Here is a 17335-nt window from a genome sequence, read left to right on the forward strand (position 1 = left end):
AGACCATTTCTTAGTGTTCCCTTAGACCCTTTTTATAGTATTATAGTTTTGTGTACATTTTCTCTACATGTGACATAATCCTGATACTGTACATCTCCAAAGCACCCTTACTTTGTGGTTTATCACATTGTTCCCACTAATGGCTTCCAAAACTGGGCTAACTGAAGCTGAGTATATCTGTAGAATTCCTTTTTCATTCCCTTTCTTCTACAAATGGACCTCTTTCAAGCTTAAGCCATGCTGAAATTTCTCTTCCATTGGTGATAGGTGGGACTGCTTAACCTGCGGCTTAAGTTATTTTCCAAAGATTACCATAAGACTAGGTTGCCTTATGACCTCAGAGAAGCACTGGAACCAAATAAAAGGGCACACAGCCACTTTATTAAGGGGCAGAGTACTGTCCTGTTACTTAGAGGAAAGTCTTTTAGTTTTGCTTTTTTTTTTTTTTTTTTTTTTTTTTTTGAGACAGAATCTCGGTCTGTTGCCCAGGCTGGAGGGAAGTGGTGCAATCTCAGCTCACTGCAACCTCCGCCTCCCAGGTTCAAGCGATTCTTCTGCCTCACCCTCCCAGTTAGCTGAGATTACAGGTGCCCGCCACCACGCACGGCTAATTTTTTTTTGTATTTTTAGTAGAGACGGGGTTTCATCATGTTGGCTAGGCTGGTCTCAAACTCCTGACCTCAGGTGATCCACCCACCTTGGCCTCCCAAAGTGCTGGGATTACAGGCGTGAGCCACTGCGCCTGGCCAGTTTTACTTTCTTTTAATCTTATTTTTAACACAGCACATACTACCTTATGTTGCACTGGGCTCAGACCTAGTCTCTAAACAAAAGGAATTCTTTACGTACTTTTCACATCTTACATTGTACATATTACTTAGAGCTTTTGGTGGAAGATTATTGGAGACAAGTGTTTTAAAATGACAATAAAATGTTTCCTACCAGTTTTCTGGAAAACATCATTTTATTGTTTTGCTGTGTATTGGCCTTGAGACCCTAAACACCTGTGTTGTAGCCTTGTGATCCTTCTTTGTACGGTAGTATTTTTCCTGTCATTTTTTAGTTAACTCTTGGAGCCATCTTTGATTCTTCCCTCTTCTAAATATTTGTTTAGTTGCAGACCATCATTCTTTCTTCATAATCTCTTTTACATTCCGTCCTCCGCCCTTCCCACTATTCTTTTTTTTTGTTTTTTGTTTTGAGGCAGAATCTCACTCTGTCACCCAGGCTGGAGTGCAGTGGCGCAGTTTCGGCTCACTGCAACCTCTACCTTCTGGGCTTAAGCGATTCTCCTGCCTCAGCCTCCCAAATAGCTGGGACTACAGGTGCACGCCACCATGCCCAGCTAATTTTTGTGTTCTTAGTAAGAGAGGGTTTCACCATGTTGGTCAGGCTGGTCTCAAACTCTTGGCCTCCAGTGATCCATCTGCCTTGGCCTCCCAAAGTGCTGGGATTATAGGCGTGAGCCACCGCGCCCTGGCCCCTGCCCACTATTCCTAGGCTGCTATTTTGCTGTCTCCTGATAGGCTTTTAAAAATCCATCTCCTTTCTTCATAGGGCATCCTACACAACAGTATCTGATCAGTCTGCTTAAAACCGCAGAACCTTTCTGCTATCCCTTTCAGAAAACTTGGTTGAATTCCTGTTAAAGTGCGAATGCCCCCACCTGCTCTCAGGGCTCATTTTGACTCGATTTACTTCCCCTAGATTGTCTCGCACAAATCCCCTGATGAACATTCTGCTCTAGCCATGGCAGTCTATTCATGTCATAGAGATGCCTTGGGCCGTCTTTCCTTGGGTCTTTTTTAATGCTCTTCCCCTCCTCAGATGCTTGTCTGAATTCTTTGCATTCTTCAAGTTCTTATGTAGCTTTTCCTGGCTGTTAAAGCCTGAAGTGATCTTTGTATTTTGTACAGTAAATAATGACGTGTATTTGATTCTGTAAATATACATTAAATATTAAATACTCTAAATATTAGAGTTACATAAAATTTAAAGTTCCTAGAATGTGTGAAATTACTATATCCTGCATTTCTGACAGGTAGTCATTTACTCTCTCCTTACCCATTACCCTAGAGCACAGCACTTCCCAAGCCAACACATTGATCCATTTAGTAAAACCTTGACCCCGTTTGTCCTTTTGTCGTAGTGTTTCTTTTTTCTGTTTTGTTTGTTTGTTTTGAGACAGGATCTCGCTTTGTCACCCATGCTGAAGTGCGGTGATGCAAACACGGTTCACTGCAGTCTCAACTTCCTGGATTCAAGCAATCCTCCCGCATCATCCTCCTGAGTAGTTGGGACCACAGGCGTGCGCCACCATGCCTGGCTAATTGTTTAATTATTTTTGTAGAGTTGAGGTCTCGCCATGTTGCCCAGGCTGGTTTTTTTGTTTGTTCGTTCGTTTGTTTTTTGTAGATAGGATCTCCCTTTTTCACCCAGGCTGGTGTGCAGTGGGGCGATCATGGCTCACTGCAACCTCAACCTCCTGGGCTCAAGAGATCCTCCTGCGTCAGCCTCCTGAGTAGCTGAGACTACGGGAACATGCCACCACACCTGGCTAATTTTTGTAGAGACAGGCTTTTGCCATGTTGTCCAGGCTGGTATTAAACTCCTGGACTCAAGCAATCAGCCTGCCTTAGTCTCCCAAAGTTCTGGGACTACAGAAGTGAGCCACCAAGCCTGGCCTCAGGCTGTTGATTTTTGAAATAATACAGAATAAGGCTTTGTTTTATAAGAACGCTAAAAATGTTTAATGATAGCCTTCATGTCTCCTGAAATCATTTCTACTCCAGGCAAAACCTGTTCCTGTTACATTTCTTGTATGCTTTGTTTTCCAGTTCCTCTTCTTGTTTTGATACTAGTTCTGTCCTATCCAATGTCCCTCTTGAAATTTGGTCCCAACAATGAAAGATACACCCGTGCGGATTACAGAGAGACTATTATTTCTATGCTCTGGAGACTGTGAAAATGGATGTAACCTAAAATTACCTTTTTTTTTTTTTTTTAGCAGTCATACTGTTAGCTAAGGTTTAAATATTAAAACTCCAGATTTCTTCCATGGAACCACTATTAATCCACCCTGTATTGCTTTTTATCTTGTGAACACTAACTCTCATAACTGACTGAGTTGTCCTCTCTATGTTGGCTGCTAAGAAACTCAGCCAGACGTGACACCTACCTCTCATAAGCCTTTAAAACCTTGTATTTACTAACCTACCCTGGCTTCATTTTTTCCCTCTCTTTTTTTTTTCTACCCAATTTAATACTTTTCCCTGTTAATCTTATTGCATGTTTATATTGTTATCACAAGTTCTTTTTTTAGTGGTGGAATATAAATTTACAAATAAGAACTTAACCTTTTTCTGTGTAATTGTAAACTCTTGTTTATATTATTAACATACCCTCAGTTTGTGTTCCTCTCTCAAAAAACAAATCATGATGCCAGTATATTTGAAGTCATTAGCATAGCCTCTACTGCCTATGTTTTCATTCTTTTTTTTAAGTGCTTAGTAAATATACTCTGAGTATATAATTGTGTCCAAGAATGTATGCATTTAAAATATGTATAGCCTGTCATTTAAAATATCTGTACACAGTCTTTGCAAACCTCATCTATGTGGCTGCATGATATTTCAGAGATTGATGGTCCATGGTTTACTTACACATTCCTTTATTCTGGATTTTTATGTTGTTTTTAGTTTGGTTATAGATAATGCTGCAGTAAACATCTTTTTGTGTAAAACTTCCTCCATTTTTACATTGTCCTTAGAATAGGTTTTTTAAAATTATAATTTATATTAAAAATATAGTAACTATATGTCTGAGGTTTTTATTGATTTTACTCAATTTTTTATTGAAGTGATGAATTTATATTTTACATTATGAAAAAGTAGATCCTATGGTATGAAGACTTGCAAAAGAGCTGTAGATAAAGATTGTATCCTATGATAATATGTAAGTAAGTGCAGTGAAATTTAACACTCTCCCTTTTGTCTTTCCATAGCTGGATAGAACTTATACTGGCTTGCAGACTCTTGGAGCAGAGACGGTAGGTTTTTTTCCTACAGTATTATCTGGGAATGAGTAGGATGAAAATTGATCTTCATTTTTTGTTTGTTTGTTTGTTTTGAGACGGGGTCTTCGCTCTGTCACCCAGGCTGGAGTGCAGTGGCATGATCTCGGCTCACTGCAACCTCTTCCTCCCAGGATCAAGTGATTCTCCTACCTCAGCCTCCCGAGTAGCTGGGATTACAGGAACGCACCACCATGCCTGGCTAATTTTTATATTTTTAGTAGAGACAGGGTTTCACAGGTGTGCGCCACTGCACCTGGCCGATCTTCATTTTTAATTAGGGAAAAAATTAGTGTTAGTTTTTTTTTTTAAAGTTTGCCTTTCTGTGTTAGTCCATTCTCACACTATTATAAATAACTACCGAAGACTGGGTAATCTATGAAGAGGTTTAATAGACTCACAGTTCCACAGGCTTACCAGGAAACTTGTGGCTCCTCTCCCCTTGTCTCCCCTCCCTCCTCTTCCCTTCCTTCTCCCTTCCCTTTCCCCTTCCCCTTGTCCCCTCCCCTTCCCCTCCTTTTTTTTTTTTTTTGAGAGGGAGTGACGCTCTGTTGCCCAGGCTGGAGTGCAGTGGAGCAATCTTGGCTCACTGCAACCTCCTCCTGGGTTCAAGCGATTCTCCTGCCTCAGCCTCCCAAGTAGCTGTGACTACAGGCACGCGCCACCACACCCAGCTAATTTTTGTATTCATAGTAGAGACGGGGTTTCACTATGTTGGTCAGGCTGCTCTCGAACTGCTGACTGCTCTCGAACTGCCTGACCTCAGGTGATCCACCCGCTTTGGCCTCCCAAAGTGCTGGGATTACAGGCGTGAGCCACCACACCAGGCTTTCTCCTTTTCTCTTCTCTTTTCTTCTTTTTCTCTTCTCTTTTTTTAATTGAGACAGGGTCTTACTCTGTCAGCCAGGCTGGAGTACAGTAACATCATGGCTCACTGCAACCTTGAATTGCTAGACTCCAGCCATTCTCCCACCTCAGCCTCCCAAGTAGCTAGGACTGTACACCTGCACTAGCAAGCCCAGCTAATTTTTACATTTTTTATAGAGACAGTGTCTTACTATGTTCACAGGCTGGTCTCGAATTCTTGGCTTCAAGCAGTCCTCCCACCTCAGCATCCAAAAGCACTGGGATTACAGGCATGAGTCACTGCGCCCAGCCTTGGTTCATATATATATGTGTGTGTATATATATATATTTTCAAAATGTATATATATTTTCTTGAGACAGAGTCTCACTCTGTCGCCCAGTCTGGAGTGCGGTGGCGTGATCTCCACTCACTGCAAGCTCCGCCTCCCGGGTTCACGCCATTCTCCTGCTTCAGCCTCCCAAGTAGCTGGGACCACAGGCACCCGCCACCACGCCCGGCTAATTTTTTGTATTTTTAGTAGAGATGGGGTTTCACCGAGTTAGACCAGGATGGTCTCGATATCCTGACCTTGTGATCCGCCCATCTCGGCCTCCCAAAGTGCTGGGATTACAGGCGTGAGCCATGGCGCCCGGCCGGTTCATATATTTTTTAAAAATTGTGCTTAAAAAACACGTAACACAAAATTTACCGTCTTACCCATTTTTCAGTGTACAGTCTAGTGGCATTAAGTATATTCACATTATTATGCAGCCATGACCTTAGTCCATCTTTAGAACTGTTTTCGTCTTGCAGAGCTGAAACTCTGTACCCATTAAAAAATGACCACCCACTCCTCCCGCCCCCCCAGCACTGGCAACTGCTGCTCTACTTTCTGTCTGTGTGAATTTGACTACTCTAGGGTACCTCATATAAGTGGAATCATAACATATGTGTCTCTTTGGGATTGCCTTATTTCGCTTTGCATAATGTCCTCAGATTTCATCCATGTTGTAGCGTATGTCAGAATTTCCTTCCTTTGTAAAAAAATTTATTTTTATTTATTTATTTTTGAGAAAGAGTCTTGCTCTCTCTCACCCAGCCTGGAGTGCAATCACGGCTCACTGCAGCTTTGACCTCCTGGGCTCAAGTAATCTGTCCTTAGCCTGTCAGGTAGCTGGGACTGTGGGCGTGTGCCACCATGACCAGCTAATTTATTTACTTACTCGTTTATTTATTTATTTATTTTTTGAGATGGAGTCTCGCTCTGTTGCCCAGGTTGGAGTGCAGTGGCTCGATCTCGGCTCACTGCAAGCTCCACCTCCCGGGTTCACGCCATTCTCCTGCCTCAGCCTCCTGAGTAGCTGGGACTACAGGCACCTGCCACCACGCCCGGCTAATTTTTTTTTTTTTGTATTTTTAGTAGAGACGGGGTTTCACTGTGTTAGCCAGGATGGTCTTGATCTCCTGACCTCATGATCTGCCTGCCTCGGCCTCCCAAAGTGCTGGGATTATAGGCATGAGCCACCGCGCCCGGCCTACTTGTTTATTTTTTGTAGAGACAGGGTCTCACTATGTTGTCCAGGCTTGTCTTCAACTCCTGGGCTCAAGCTGTCCGCCTGCCTTGGCCCCCCAAAGTGTTGGGATTATAGGCATGAGCCATTGTGCCCCGCCCCTCTTCCTGTTTTAGGCTGAATAATACTGCATTGTATGTATATACCACATTTTGTTTATCCGTTCACCTGCTGATGGACACTTGCGTTGCTTCCAGCTTTTGGCTGTTGTTAATAGTGCTGCTATGAACGTAGGTGTACAGGTATCTATTCAAATCCTTGCTTTCAGTTCTTTTGGGTATATACCCAGAAATGGAATTGGCTGGATCCTATGGTAATTCTATTTTTAGAGGAACCACTGCTATATTTTTTCGTGGTAGCCGCACCATTTTACATTCCCACCAACAGTGCACACGTATTCCAGTTTCTCCACGTCTTCACCAGCATTTGTTAATTTTTTTTGTATTTTAATTTATAGTAGTTATTCTGTTGTTTGTGATGTGATATCTTGTGGTTTTGATCTGTGTTTCTCTAATCATTAGTGATGTTGAGGATCCCTTCATGTGTTTGGTGACCATGTGTTTATCTTCTTTGGAGAAATGTCTATTCAGAGACATTCAGAAAATGTCTTTGCCCATTTTTAAATTAGGTGGTTTGGTTTTTGTTGTTGCTAAGTGACAGGAGTTATTCATATATTCTGGATAGTAACCCCTTACCAGATAGATGATTTGCAAATATTTACTTCCATTCCGTGTTATATTTTTGCCTTTTCACTCTGTTGATTGTGTCCTTTGATGCACAGAAGTTTTTAAGTTTGATGTCCCGTTTGTCTATTTTTTATTTTGTTGCCTGTGCTTTTGGTGTCGTGTCCAAGAAACCATTACCAAATTCAGTGTCATGAAGCTTTTCCCTTACATTTTCTTCTAGGAGTTTTATTGTTTTAGCTTTTATGTTTCGTTCTTTGATCCTGAGTTAATTTTGGTATATAGTGTAAGGTAAGGGTCCGATTGCATTCTTTGGCATATGGATATCCAGTTTCCCTGGCACCATTTGCTGAAAATACTGTCTTTTCCCCCACTGAATGGTCTTGGGACCCTTGTCAAAGATCATTTGACCATATATGTGAGGATTTATTCTGTTCCATTGGTCTGTATGTCTGTCTTTATGCCAGCAGCATACTGTTGATTACTATGGCTTTGTAATAAATTTTGAAATCAGGAGTCTGAGACCTCCAACTTTGTTCTTCACCTTCTCTCCCTTTTTTTGTATTCATCATATAATAATCAGCAATAGCCATTTAATCAGAGTTCACTAATTAAATCTTACTCTGTCTAGAGAAATCTGCTGTATTATATCAGAAGGTACTTATTGAGCGCTGGTCCAGGTGCTGGGAATACAGAAATGAACACGGTAGCTTCTTCCTTCAGAGTCAAATTCTTAGTGGCATTGAAAATGGGGAGGGTAGACAGTAAACACAAAAGCAAATAAAATTACTTCAGTTACAAATAAGTGCTGTGAAGATAAGAGTAGCTGGGGGATAAGGAAGTAGCTTATTCTTGGGTGGTTAGGCATGGTCTCTCTGAGAAGGTGCTACTTCATTGAGACCTGCTGGTGAGAAAGGCAGCCATGCAAAGATTTGGAGGAATAGCGTTGTAAGGAGTAGCAACAGCAAAATCAAGAGGTCCCAATTTTGTGAATAATTTCACTGAGATTTGTATGTTAAACCAGATTAGATTTTCACTGAGGTATGTGTCTGTTAAGCCAGATTAGATTACCTTCTAGAATAAATCCTTTAGTTCTTCAGATTGAAATTGCCTTTGAAGTGTGATTAGAAGTTATCTCTCACATCCCGGAGATTACATTCTTGGACGGGACTTGAGCTTTCTGTGACATTGATGATGGACTCATGAGCCTGATTGTTGCCCAATTGTCTAGGTAGTGGATGTTGAACTCCATCGCCATTCTCTCGGAGAAGACTGTATCTATCCTCAGTCCTCGGAGTCTGACATCTCTGATGCCCCTCCATCTTTGCCTTTGACCATTCCAGCCCCAGTGAAAGCTTCTTCACCAATAAAGCAGTCACATGAGCCAGTACCCGATACCTCTGTGGAGAAAGGTAATACAGCAGTTTTCCTTGCATAGCGTTGTTCTGAGGCATTCCTTTCCCATTTGCTGCTTTCAGAGACCTATAGTATATGGAAAATAACTTTGCTATAAGTGGACATGCTGCCTCTACTACACAGTTCTGTTATGAAAGCCAAATTTCCACTCTTGTCAAAAATATTTTTCCGGCCGGGAGCTGTGGTTCACACCTGTAATCCCAGCACTTTGGGAGGCCAAGGCGGGTGGATCATGAGGTCAGGAGATTAAGACCATCCTGACTAACACGGTGAAACCCCGTCTCTACTAAAAATACAAAAATTTAGCTGGGTGTGATGGTGGGTGCCTGTAGTCCCAGCTACTCGGGAGGCTGAGGCAGGAGAATGGCTCGAACCCGGGAGGTGGAGCTTGCAGTGAGCTGAGATGGTACCACTGCACTCCAGCCTGGACAACAGAGCGAGACTCCATCTCAAAAAAAAAAAAAAAAATTTCCATGAAGTTTTACTGACATATTATAAAATGTAAAAATAGCTAAAAAACATAAGATTTTTAAATTTATTTTTATTTTATTTTATTTTGAGATGGAGTCTTGCTCTGTTGCCCAGGCTGGAGTGCAGTGGCATGATCTCGCCTCACTGCAACCTCCACCTCCTGGGTTCAAGCAATTCTCCTGCCTCAGCCTCCCTGTTAGCTAGGATTACAGGCGTCCACCACCGCTCTCGGCTAATTTTTGTATTTTTAGTAGAGATGGGTTTTCACCATGTTGGCCAGGCTGGTCTCGAACTCATGACCTCAGGTGATCCACCCACCTTGGCCTCCCAAAGTGCTGGGATTACAGGCATGACCCACCACGCCTGGCCTAAAACAGATTTTTATCACTTGATAATTCCTTATAATGTATTACAGGAAGACTTTATGGTTCAGCTTCTGATTGTGCGAGCAAGAAACTTGGATATTAAATACCTGGTTTTACTTAAGAAAAGATTCATCACCAACAATGTATTTTGACCATGCCATTTTTAAATTTAACAAATATATGTGTATAAATACATATTTTAATGTTCCCATATATAAGCATAAAAGATATAAAATTGATCTTAAATGTTTTATTTCTAAGCCTATATTTTAATGTGGTTAGTATTATAGTTCTTTTATAAAATCTCAACTTTATTCCTCTTTAGATTTCAATTGCATCTTTTTTATGGGCATTTAATAAGATACAAGAGGGGCCGGGCACGGTGGCTCATGCCTGTAATTCCCAGCCTTTTGGGAGGCTGAAACCATCGGATCACCTGAGGTCAGGAGTTCAAGACCAGCCTGGCCAACATGGCAAAACCCCGTCTCTACTAAAAATACAAAAATTAGCCAGGGATGGTGGTGCATACCTGTAATCCCAGCTATTCCGGAGGCTGAGGCACAAGAATTGCTTGAACCCGGGAGGTGGAGGTAGCAGTGAGCTGAGATCACACCACTGCACTCTAGCCTGGGTGACAAGTGAAATAATGTCTCAAAAATAAGTAAATAAATAAGATAGGAGGATATCATTAGATTTAGTGAATGCTTTCTAAGATTTTTTCTTCTCTAAACAGTTTTTCAGTTTATATATTAAAAAATGGAGGAACATAAGAACTTTTGTTCTTTTTATGTTATACATGGTTTATAGTTAATAATGTTTTCAAGTTTTTTTAAAAAAGCACTTTAAACATTATTCTAAGCATATATATTTTTCACCAAAAATATGAAGGGATGATTGATTGTATTTATTTTGCTACCAGTACATGGTTTAAAATGGTGTTGAAATAATGCATTTTTATTCTTTTTCCACAACGGTAAGGTTTTATTTCAAAGCGATTGATGACTTGCCGTTTGCCTCTTTCATCTCAAGCAGGATTCCCAGCTAGCACTGAAGCTGAACGACACACTCCGTTTTATGCTTTGCCATCTTCATTGGAAAGAACACCCACCAAAATGACTACATCCCAGAAAGTTACCTTTTGTTCCCATGGCAATTCAGCTTTCCAGCCAATAGCATCAAGCTGCAAAATTGTTCCACAAAGTCAGGTTCCTAATCCTGAGTCACCTGGAAAATCCTTCCAGCCCATCACCATGAGCTGCAAGATTGTGTCAGGTATGCAGATGTTTTGAAGACAGTGTATGTGGAGTTGACTGGATGTTAAAATTGTTGGAACAACAAAACAAAATACTTGGCTTTTTTTCTCTTAAGTTCTTCTAAGCAGTGTTATGTTTAACAAAAGGAAGTTTATCACTGTTGATTGGCAAAGCTGTCACAAGGCAAAAACAAAGCTCATTCATACGGAAATGAATGGAGGAGATAAATGAAACTCAAATGGTCAAATTTTTGTCTGCCAGAATCAGCACAGGTAAAATGTTTGCTAGGATATATGGCTGAAACTAAGGTGTAGGAATCGTGTTTGGGGATTATATACATGGAAACCACAGTGACTAGTGATAGAAAAAATTTAGAGGCCTTTGGCATGGAGTTAAATTTTAAGGGTTAGAGTTGGTTGGGAATTGAAATGCTTTATTCTGTCTGTAACCACACTAGAAAATTATTCATTCCTATTGTCAGTAGGTAGTTCTGAGTTGTCTTGTTCACTAAGATTGGATTATCTTTTGCCTTGTGATAGTTTCATTTTATGTTAGGTAAAATTTAGTAGGAATATATGGTTTTGACTGTTCCACCTTAGAACAAAACATGTTTGTTAAAAGGCAATTGGAAATAACCAGGAAGTATGAGGACTTCTGTATAATAGTTAAATGAAGGGGGGAAAAAAAGAATGTTTGGTGTTGTAAGTAGACAGCTAAGTAGAAATAGGATCCAAATCTTTGATGAGAGATAAATAGCTTCTAATTGGTAGGCAATTTTTTTTTTTTGAGATGGAGTTTCACTCTTGTCACCTACGCTGGAGTGCAATGGCGCGATCTCAGCTCACTGCAGCCTCCACCTCTCTCGGGTTCAAGTGATTCTCCTGGCTCAGCCTCCCAAGTAGCTGGGACTGCAGGCACGTGTCACCACTCCCAGCTAATTTTGTATTTTTAGTAGAGACGGAGTTTCACCATATTGGCCAGGCTGGTCTTGAACTCCTGACCTCAGGTGATCCACCTACCTTGGCCTCCCAAAGTGCTCCGGTTACAGGCGTGAGCCACCGTCCCCTGTCATTGGTAGGCAATTTTACCTACCAGGTAGAAAAATTTTGGAACTTGCTACTTCAGAGGTGGAATAGGCTGAACATATAAATTGATTTGAAGTTTAAAGAAATTCATGGATGACGTTTGATCAATAAAAGACAGTAGAGGATGTTTAACTGTCAGTAACTTTTGAGAGTATTTTGCGGGAACACGAATCTTTCTGGGTTACGGCTGTGACATAGTATTGACAGAGACTTTTATTCTGGGTAGGTGAATTTCATATTTTCCTATTCAAAACAAGACACCAGGTTCTTAAATCTAGCTGTTTACTTACTGATTTTCTTCCTTCCTTTCTTTTTTTTTTTTTTTTTTTTTTTTTTTTTGAGACAGAGTTTTGCTCTTGTTGCCCAGGCTGGAGTGCAATGGCACGATCTCGGCTCACTCCGCCACCCGGGTTCAAGCGATTCTCCTGCCTCAGCCTCTCGAGGAGCTGGGATTACAGGCATGCGCCACCACACCCAGCTAATTTTGTATTTTTAGTAGAGACAGGGTTTCTCCATGTTGGTCAGGCTGGTCTCGAACTCACAACCTCAGGTGATCCGCCTGCCTCGGCCTCCCAAAGTGCTGGGATTACAGGCACGAGCCACTGCACCTGGTGTCTCATGCCCGGTCTCTAATTTTAGTGTCTTCGAGTATAACCAGTACTATAAAAGCCTGCCTATGGTGTTAAAAGATTTATCATATCAAGATTCAGCAGTTACAAAAAAAGGTTCAGCAGTTTTGCACTGCTGTGTAAAGCACTGCTTTCTGAACTATAAGGTGCATACCAGGAGATCTTGTTGAAGTGAGATTTATGTTTAGTAGGTCAAGGATGGGACCATAAAATCTGTTTCTTACAATTTCCTCGATGATACTGATGCTGTTGATCCATGGATAAGGATGCAGAGCATGAAACATACATCCTCTGCCTCCTTTGTACCTCTGTTGCTGCTCAGTACCGGGAGCACGCAGTATCCATTTTATTTTCCCAATTTGTTACCTTTGTCCTGGTGGCACTGACCTTCTTCCTTGTCCTCGACATCTTCTTACGTGAGTTGAATATGTGTATTTTGTTTGTATTCTCTCTTTTTAATTAATAAGGTTCCCCAATATCAACTCCAAGCCCATCACCATTGCCTCGAACCCCGACTTCCACTCCAGTCCACGTGAAGCAAGGCACTGCCGGCTCTGTTATTAATAATCCTTATGTTATCATGGACAAGCAGCCGGGGCAGGTGATTGGAGCCACCACTCCCAGTACAGGTGTGTATTAGATCCATATTTGTACCATCTAAAGGGTTTGATCTTTATTAAAAATGTAATCCTGCCATGACTTGGTAGCCATGTAATTGGAGAATGAAATCTCCCGTAAACGAGAAGCGAGAATAAGTAAAAGGAAAGCCAATACTCTTTCTCTGAGGGGAGATTTACTCTGTAAAAGTTGCATTTTTTAGAATTTACTTGAGTTTTCTTTTAATTTCTAAAAGTTCAAAATAAGCCATAATGAATGTTCTTAAAAGAATAGTTGATTTTGTTTTCATTTGGAAGACTTACGCTTTGGGGGACTGTAAGCAATGTGGTTACTACCTCTTCCAAAGAAGCTTTTGCTAACCTTGTGGGCCACATACCGTTCTCCCCAGTCAAATAAAAAATGATATTATTTTCTTCAAGGAAGACCCATTCTGCTTGTGGGAGGGGAAATTGAAACCTGCAGTTTTAAAGAGAACTCTAATAGGAAAAAGTCATCCTTGGGTTCACCGTGTTCCTCACTGTAATCCCATGCTTTTTAGGTTTTTTTGAAATGCTTTCTCTAACATTATTTTATTTATTCCCTTCAGTTAACCTGTATTTATTGTTAATTAATTAATTTATTAATTTATTGAGACAGAGTCTTGCTCTTTTCACCCAAGCTGGAGTGCAGTGGCGTGATCTCGGCTCACTGCAACCTCCACCTCCTGGGTTTAAGCAATTCTCCTGCCTCAGCCTCCCATGTAGCTGGAATTACAGGCGTGCACCACCACGCCCAGCTAATTTTTGTATTTTTAGTAGAGATGGGGTTTCACCATGTTGGCCAGGCTGGTCTCAAACTCCAATCCACCTGCCTCAGCCTCCCAAAGTGCTGGATTTACAGGCGTGAGCTACCACGCCTGGCCCCATTCAACCTGTATTTAAACACACGCTCCTAACTATAAACTTCCCTGAAGTTTTCACTTCTAATTAAGAGAAATAGAAGATAAATGAAATAAAAGGGATGATTATAAGATAATGAGACTGATTTTTTTGTTGTTGTTTGTTTGACCTATTGGATTTAACACATGAATGTATGTTGGGCTTTTCCAAGCAGTTTTTTTTTTTTTTGGAAAGGCTAAATTTTAATAGTGATTGTAATTGTGGAATGCCCTTAAAAATTACTGTGTTCAAGGCTTACCCAGTACCTTTCGAACATACTTAAGGATGCCAAATAGGTGTTATTTCATGACATTTTGTTTTAGGAATCAGCTAGAAGTCTTTGGAGGCAAGTTTGGTAAATGGAGTAAATGATTAAATACTATTTGGGGTCTTGACTTGTTGACTATAGGTAATATATGACTAAATTTTTTTCAGACTCTAAAGGCAGTTGTACAGATGGAGTATAAAATGTTTAATGTTGGCCAGGCGTGGTGGCTCATGCCCATAATCCCAGCACTTTGGGAGGCCAAGGTGGGCGGATCACCTGAGGTCAGGAGTTCGAGAGCAGCCTGGCTAACATGGCGAAACCCATCTCCACTAAAAATAGAAAAATTAGCCAGGTGTGGTAGCGCGTGCCTGTAGTCCCAGCTACTGGGGAGGCTGAGGTGGGAGAATCACTTGAACCCAGTAGGTGGAGGTTGCAGTGAGCCGAGATCAGGCAACTGCACTCCACCCCGGGTGACAGAGCGAGACTCCATCTCAGGAAAAAAAAATAATAATGTTGGCAGCATTTTGGAATAGGCATAACTTTCTGGTGAAACTACTTTGAAGGAGCTAGCAGAATGCATATATTCTGGCACATTTGTTAAACAGTATCATTATGTTGTAGTGTCTTTTATTGTATGAGGAGTAGAACATACAAGTAGAATACGTTATAGTGTCTTTTATTGTATAAGGAGTAGAATATACGAGAATATGCTACTGTTTATTGTACAAGGAGTAGTCTAAAACAAGTGACTTTACTACTTATTCTTCTGCATGTCCTTACCAGCTTCTTACCTTCTTCAGGTTGAGCATGAGATCAGCTTCACAGGGATGGGTCCTTAAGGGTTTTTTTCCATACTAGTTTCAGCCTTAACAATGAGTTTTCAACCCTTAAACATGAAAAATAAATAGTGCGAAAGAGGGGAGGATGGTAGAAATGCTTTAAAATTACCTTTTGTAAATTTTACTTTGTTTATGTTTTAATTGTGCCTTGCTTATCAGGAAGTCCTACAAACAAGATCTCCACGGCTTCTCAGGTCTCCCAAGGAACAGGTTCCCCTGTTCCTAAAATTCATGGAAGTAGTTTTGTAACATCTACTGTCAAGGTAACATTCTTACTGCGTTATTACACTTTGCTAGCTTCTTTTTCTTTTCATTTTTAAAAAATAATTTTTCAAATGGAGATGGGGTCTCCCCGTATTAACCAGGCTGTATCGAACTCCTGGCCTCAAGAGATCTGCCACCTCACCTGCCAGGGTACTGCGGTTACAGGCATGAGCTGCACCCCGCCACTTTGCCGGTTTCTGAACATAGTATGTTCAGCCTCAGCAAGAATGTGTCAGTTGATGACGCAAATTTCATAAAATGGAATCTTCAAGCTGTTAAGTATCTAGACTTTACTACCCCCAGACTTTACTAACTTACTTGGATCTACTCCAGACTTTACTACCTTACTTGGATCTTTTCATAGTGTCACAAATGCTTCACAACACTTGTGTGAAATAGTCACCCAGTATCAATTTAAAAACTTACTGTGATAAGATTATTTATTTACTTATTTGAAAAGTTTGTTAAAAATACTTGCTTATAAAAATATTCATCTGACCTCTTCCCTTTTGGACACCTCTCTCTCTCGCAACAGAGAGCTGCTGTCCTCTCCCCTTTCTTTTGCTTATTAAACTTTCTGCTCCTTAACCCATAAAAAAAATAAAAATTTAAAAATATAAAAACATTCATCTGACAGCACGTTCCTATCTTTTCTATGTTTGCATCACCAAGAAGTAAATATACAAATGGCTCCCACCTTACAGTGGTCCAACTTAACGATTTTTCGACTTTACCGTGGTGCAAAAGCAATATGCACTTAGCGAGCCCTCAGCTTACGCTGGGGTTATATTCAGATAAACCCACCATACGGTGAAAGTGTGGGAAGTCAAAAATGCACTTTTGGCCTATGATGTTTTCCCCTTATGATGGGTTTATCCAGACGTAACCCCATCCTAAGTCGGGGAGCATCAGTGTTTCCTTTTCCATGTGTTAACCGTTTAGCTATTTGAAAATAATGCTTACCTCCACAGAGTCTCTCCCCTGCTCCCCTTTTTCTGGGTAAGCAGTCCTTTAAAATTTACAACTCCAAATATGATCTGACCTGTTCCAGTCAAATGACTGGTGCCTGACACAGCATTTCTTTTATTTAGACACTAATGATGATATTGAATGACTTCCTGGTCCAAGGCGAGGCTGTTCTCTAAGTTCTGTGCAGTGTGTTGGCACTGTTATATGAATGTCTGAATTATAGTAATCTTGAAAGTCTTAACTCTGCTGGTTTAATTTTTATTGTTTGTTGGTGATCATTTTACTTTACAGCCAAGAAGTGTTCTTCGTTTCCAAATTTTGACAGATTACCTCTGAGATTTGCATTTTGTGTTTGAGAATTAAAGAGAAACTACAGAATTTTTTTTTTTTTTTTTTTTTTTTTGAGACAGAGTTTCGCTCTCGTTGCCAAGGCTGGAGTGCAGTGGCGCAATCTTGGCTCACTGCAACCTCCTGCCTCCTGAGTTCAAGCGATTCTGCGGTCTCAGTCTCCTGAGTAGCTGGGGTTACAGGGCATGCGCCCCACGCCCGGATAATTTTGTATTTTTAGTAGAGACGGGGTTTCTCCACGTTGGTCAGGCTGGTCTCGAACTCCTGATCTCAGGTAATCTGCCCGCCTCAGCCTCCCAAAGTGCTGGGATTACAGGCGTGAGCCGCTGCGCCTGGCCAGAACTACAGAAGTTTTGAATGTTGACTTTCGTTGTCTTTGCCTGTGCCAAATTATTCAAGTTTTTTGTTTGTTTGCTTGTTTTTTAAGTTTTTATTGAAAATTTTTCCTTTGTATTCTGGGTGTTCATTGAGTAAATTTTGCAAATCAGTTGTGAGTACTATTAAAAGAGAGTATATACTGAAACATTGCAGCTGCCTGTTTCTTTCATTTATTTATTTAGTGCCTAGGCTCCAGGGATATAAAATTAAATACAGTCCCTGTCCTTTAGTGGTTTACCAACTATCGGGGAAGACCAATAAAGTCAGCCAAATGTTAGGGGTAGTAAGTTAGAAGTCTTTCCAGTGTACAGCAGGACACAGATGAGTAGATTCTTGCCAAGT

The 17335-nt window shown here is 40.9% G+C and overlaps 1 protein-coding gene across 23 annotated transcripts in view; it reads left to right on the forward strand.

Annotated features, from left to right (window-relative positions):
• Nucleotides 1–17335, forward strand: part of YEATS2 (YEATS domain containing 2) — a 114828-nt gene that overhangs the window by 45872 nt on the left and 51621 nt on the right. For 13 of the 23 annotated variants that reach the window (XM_047448528.1, NM_018023.5, XM_047448531.1 and 10 more), the window contains 5 exons: nucleotides 4004–4048; nucleotides 8405–8585; nucleotides 10458–10697; nucleotides 12860–13021; nucleotides 15194–15297. In XM_047448528.1, the coding sequence (XP_047304484.1) occupies nucleotides 4004–4048; nucleotides 8405–8585; nucleotides 10458–10697; nucleotides 12860–13021; nucleotides 15194–15297 (732 nt within the window). Of the gene's footprint in view, nucleotides 1–4003; nucleotides 4049–8404; nucleotides 8586–10454; nucleotides 10698–12859; nucleotides 13022–15193; nucleotides 15298–17335 lie in introns of all 23 variants that reach the window. The other 10 variants (XM_047448527.1, NM_001351370.2, XM_011512965.2 and 7 more) reach the window with 1 other exon arrangement.

This window comes from Homo sapiens, chromosome 3 (genome assembly GCF_000001405.40).
Source record: "Homo sapiens chromosome 3, GRCh38.p14 Primary Assembly".
NCBI classification, from domain to species: domain Eukaryota; kingdom Metazoa; phylum Chordata; class Mammalia; order Primates; family Hominidae; genus Homo; species Homo sapiens.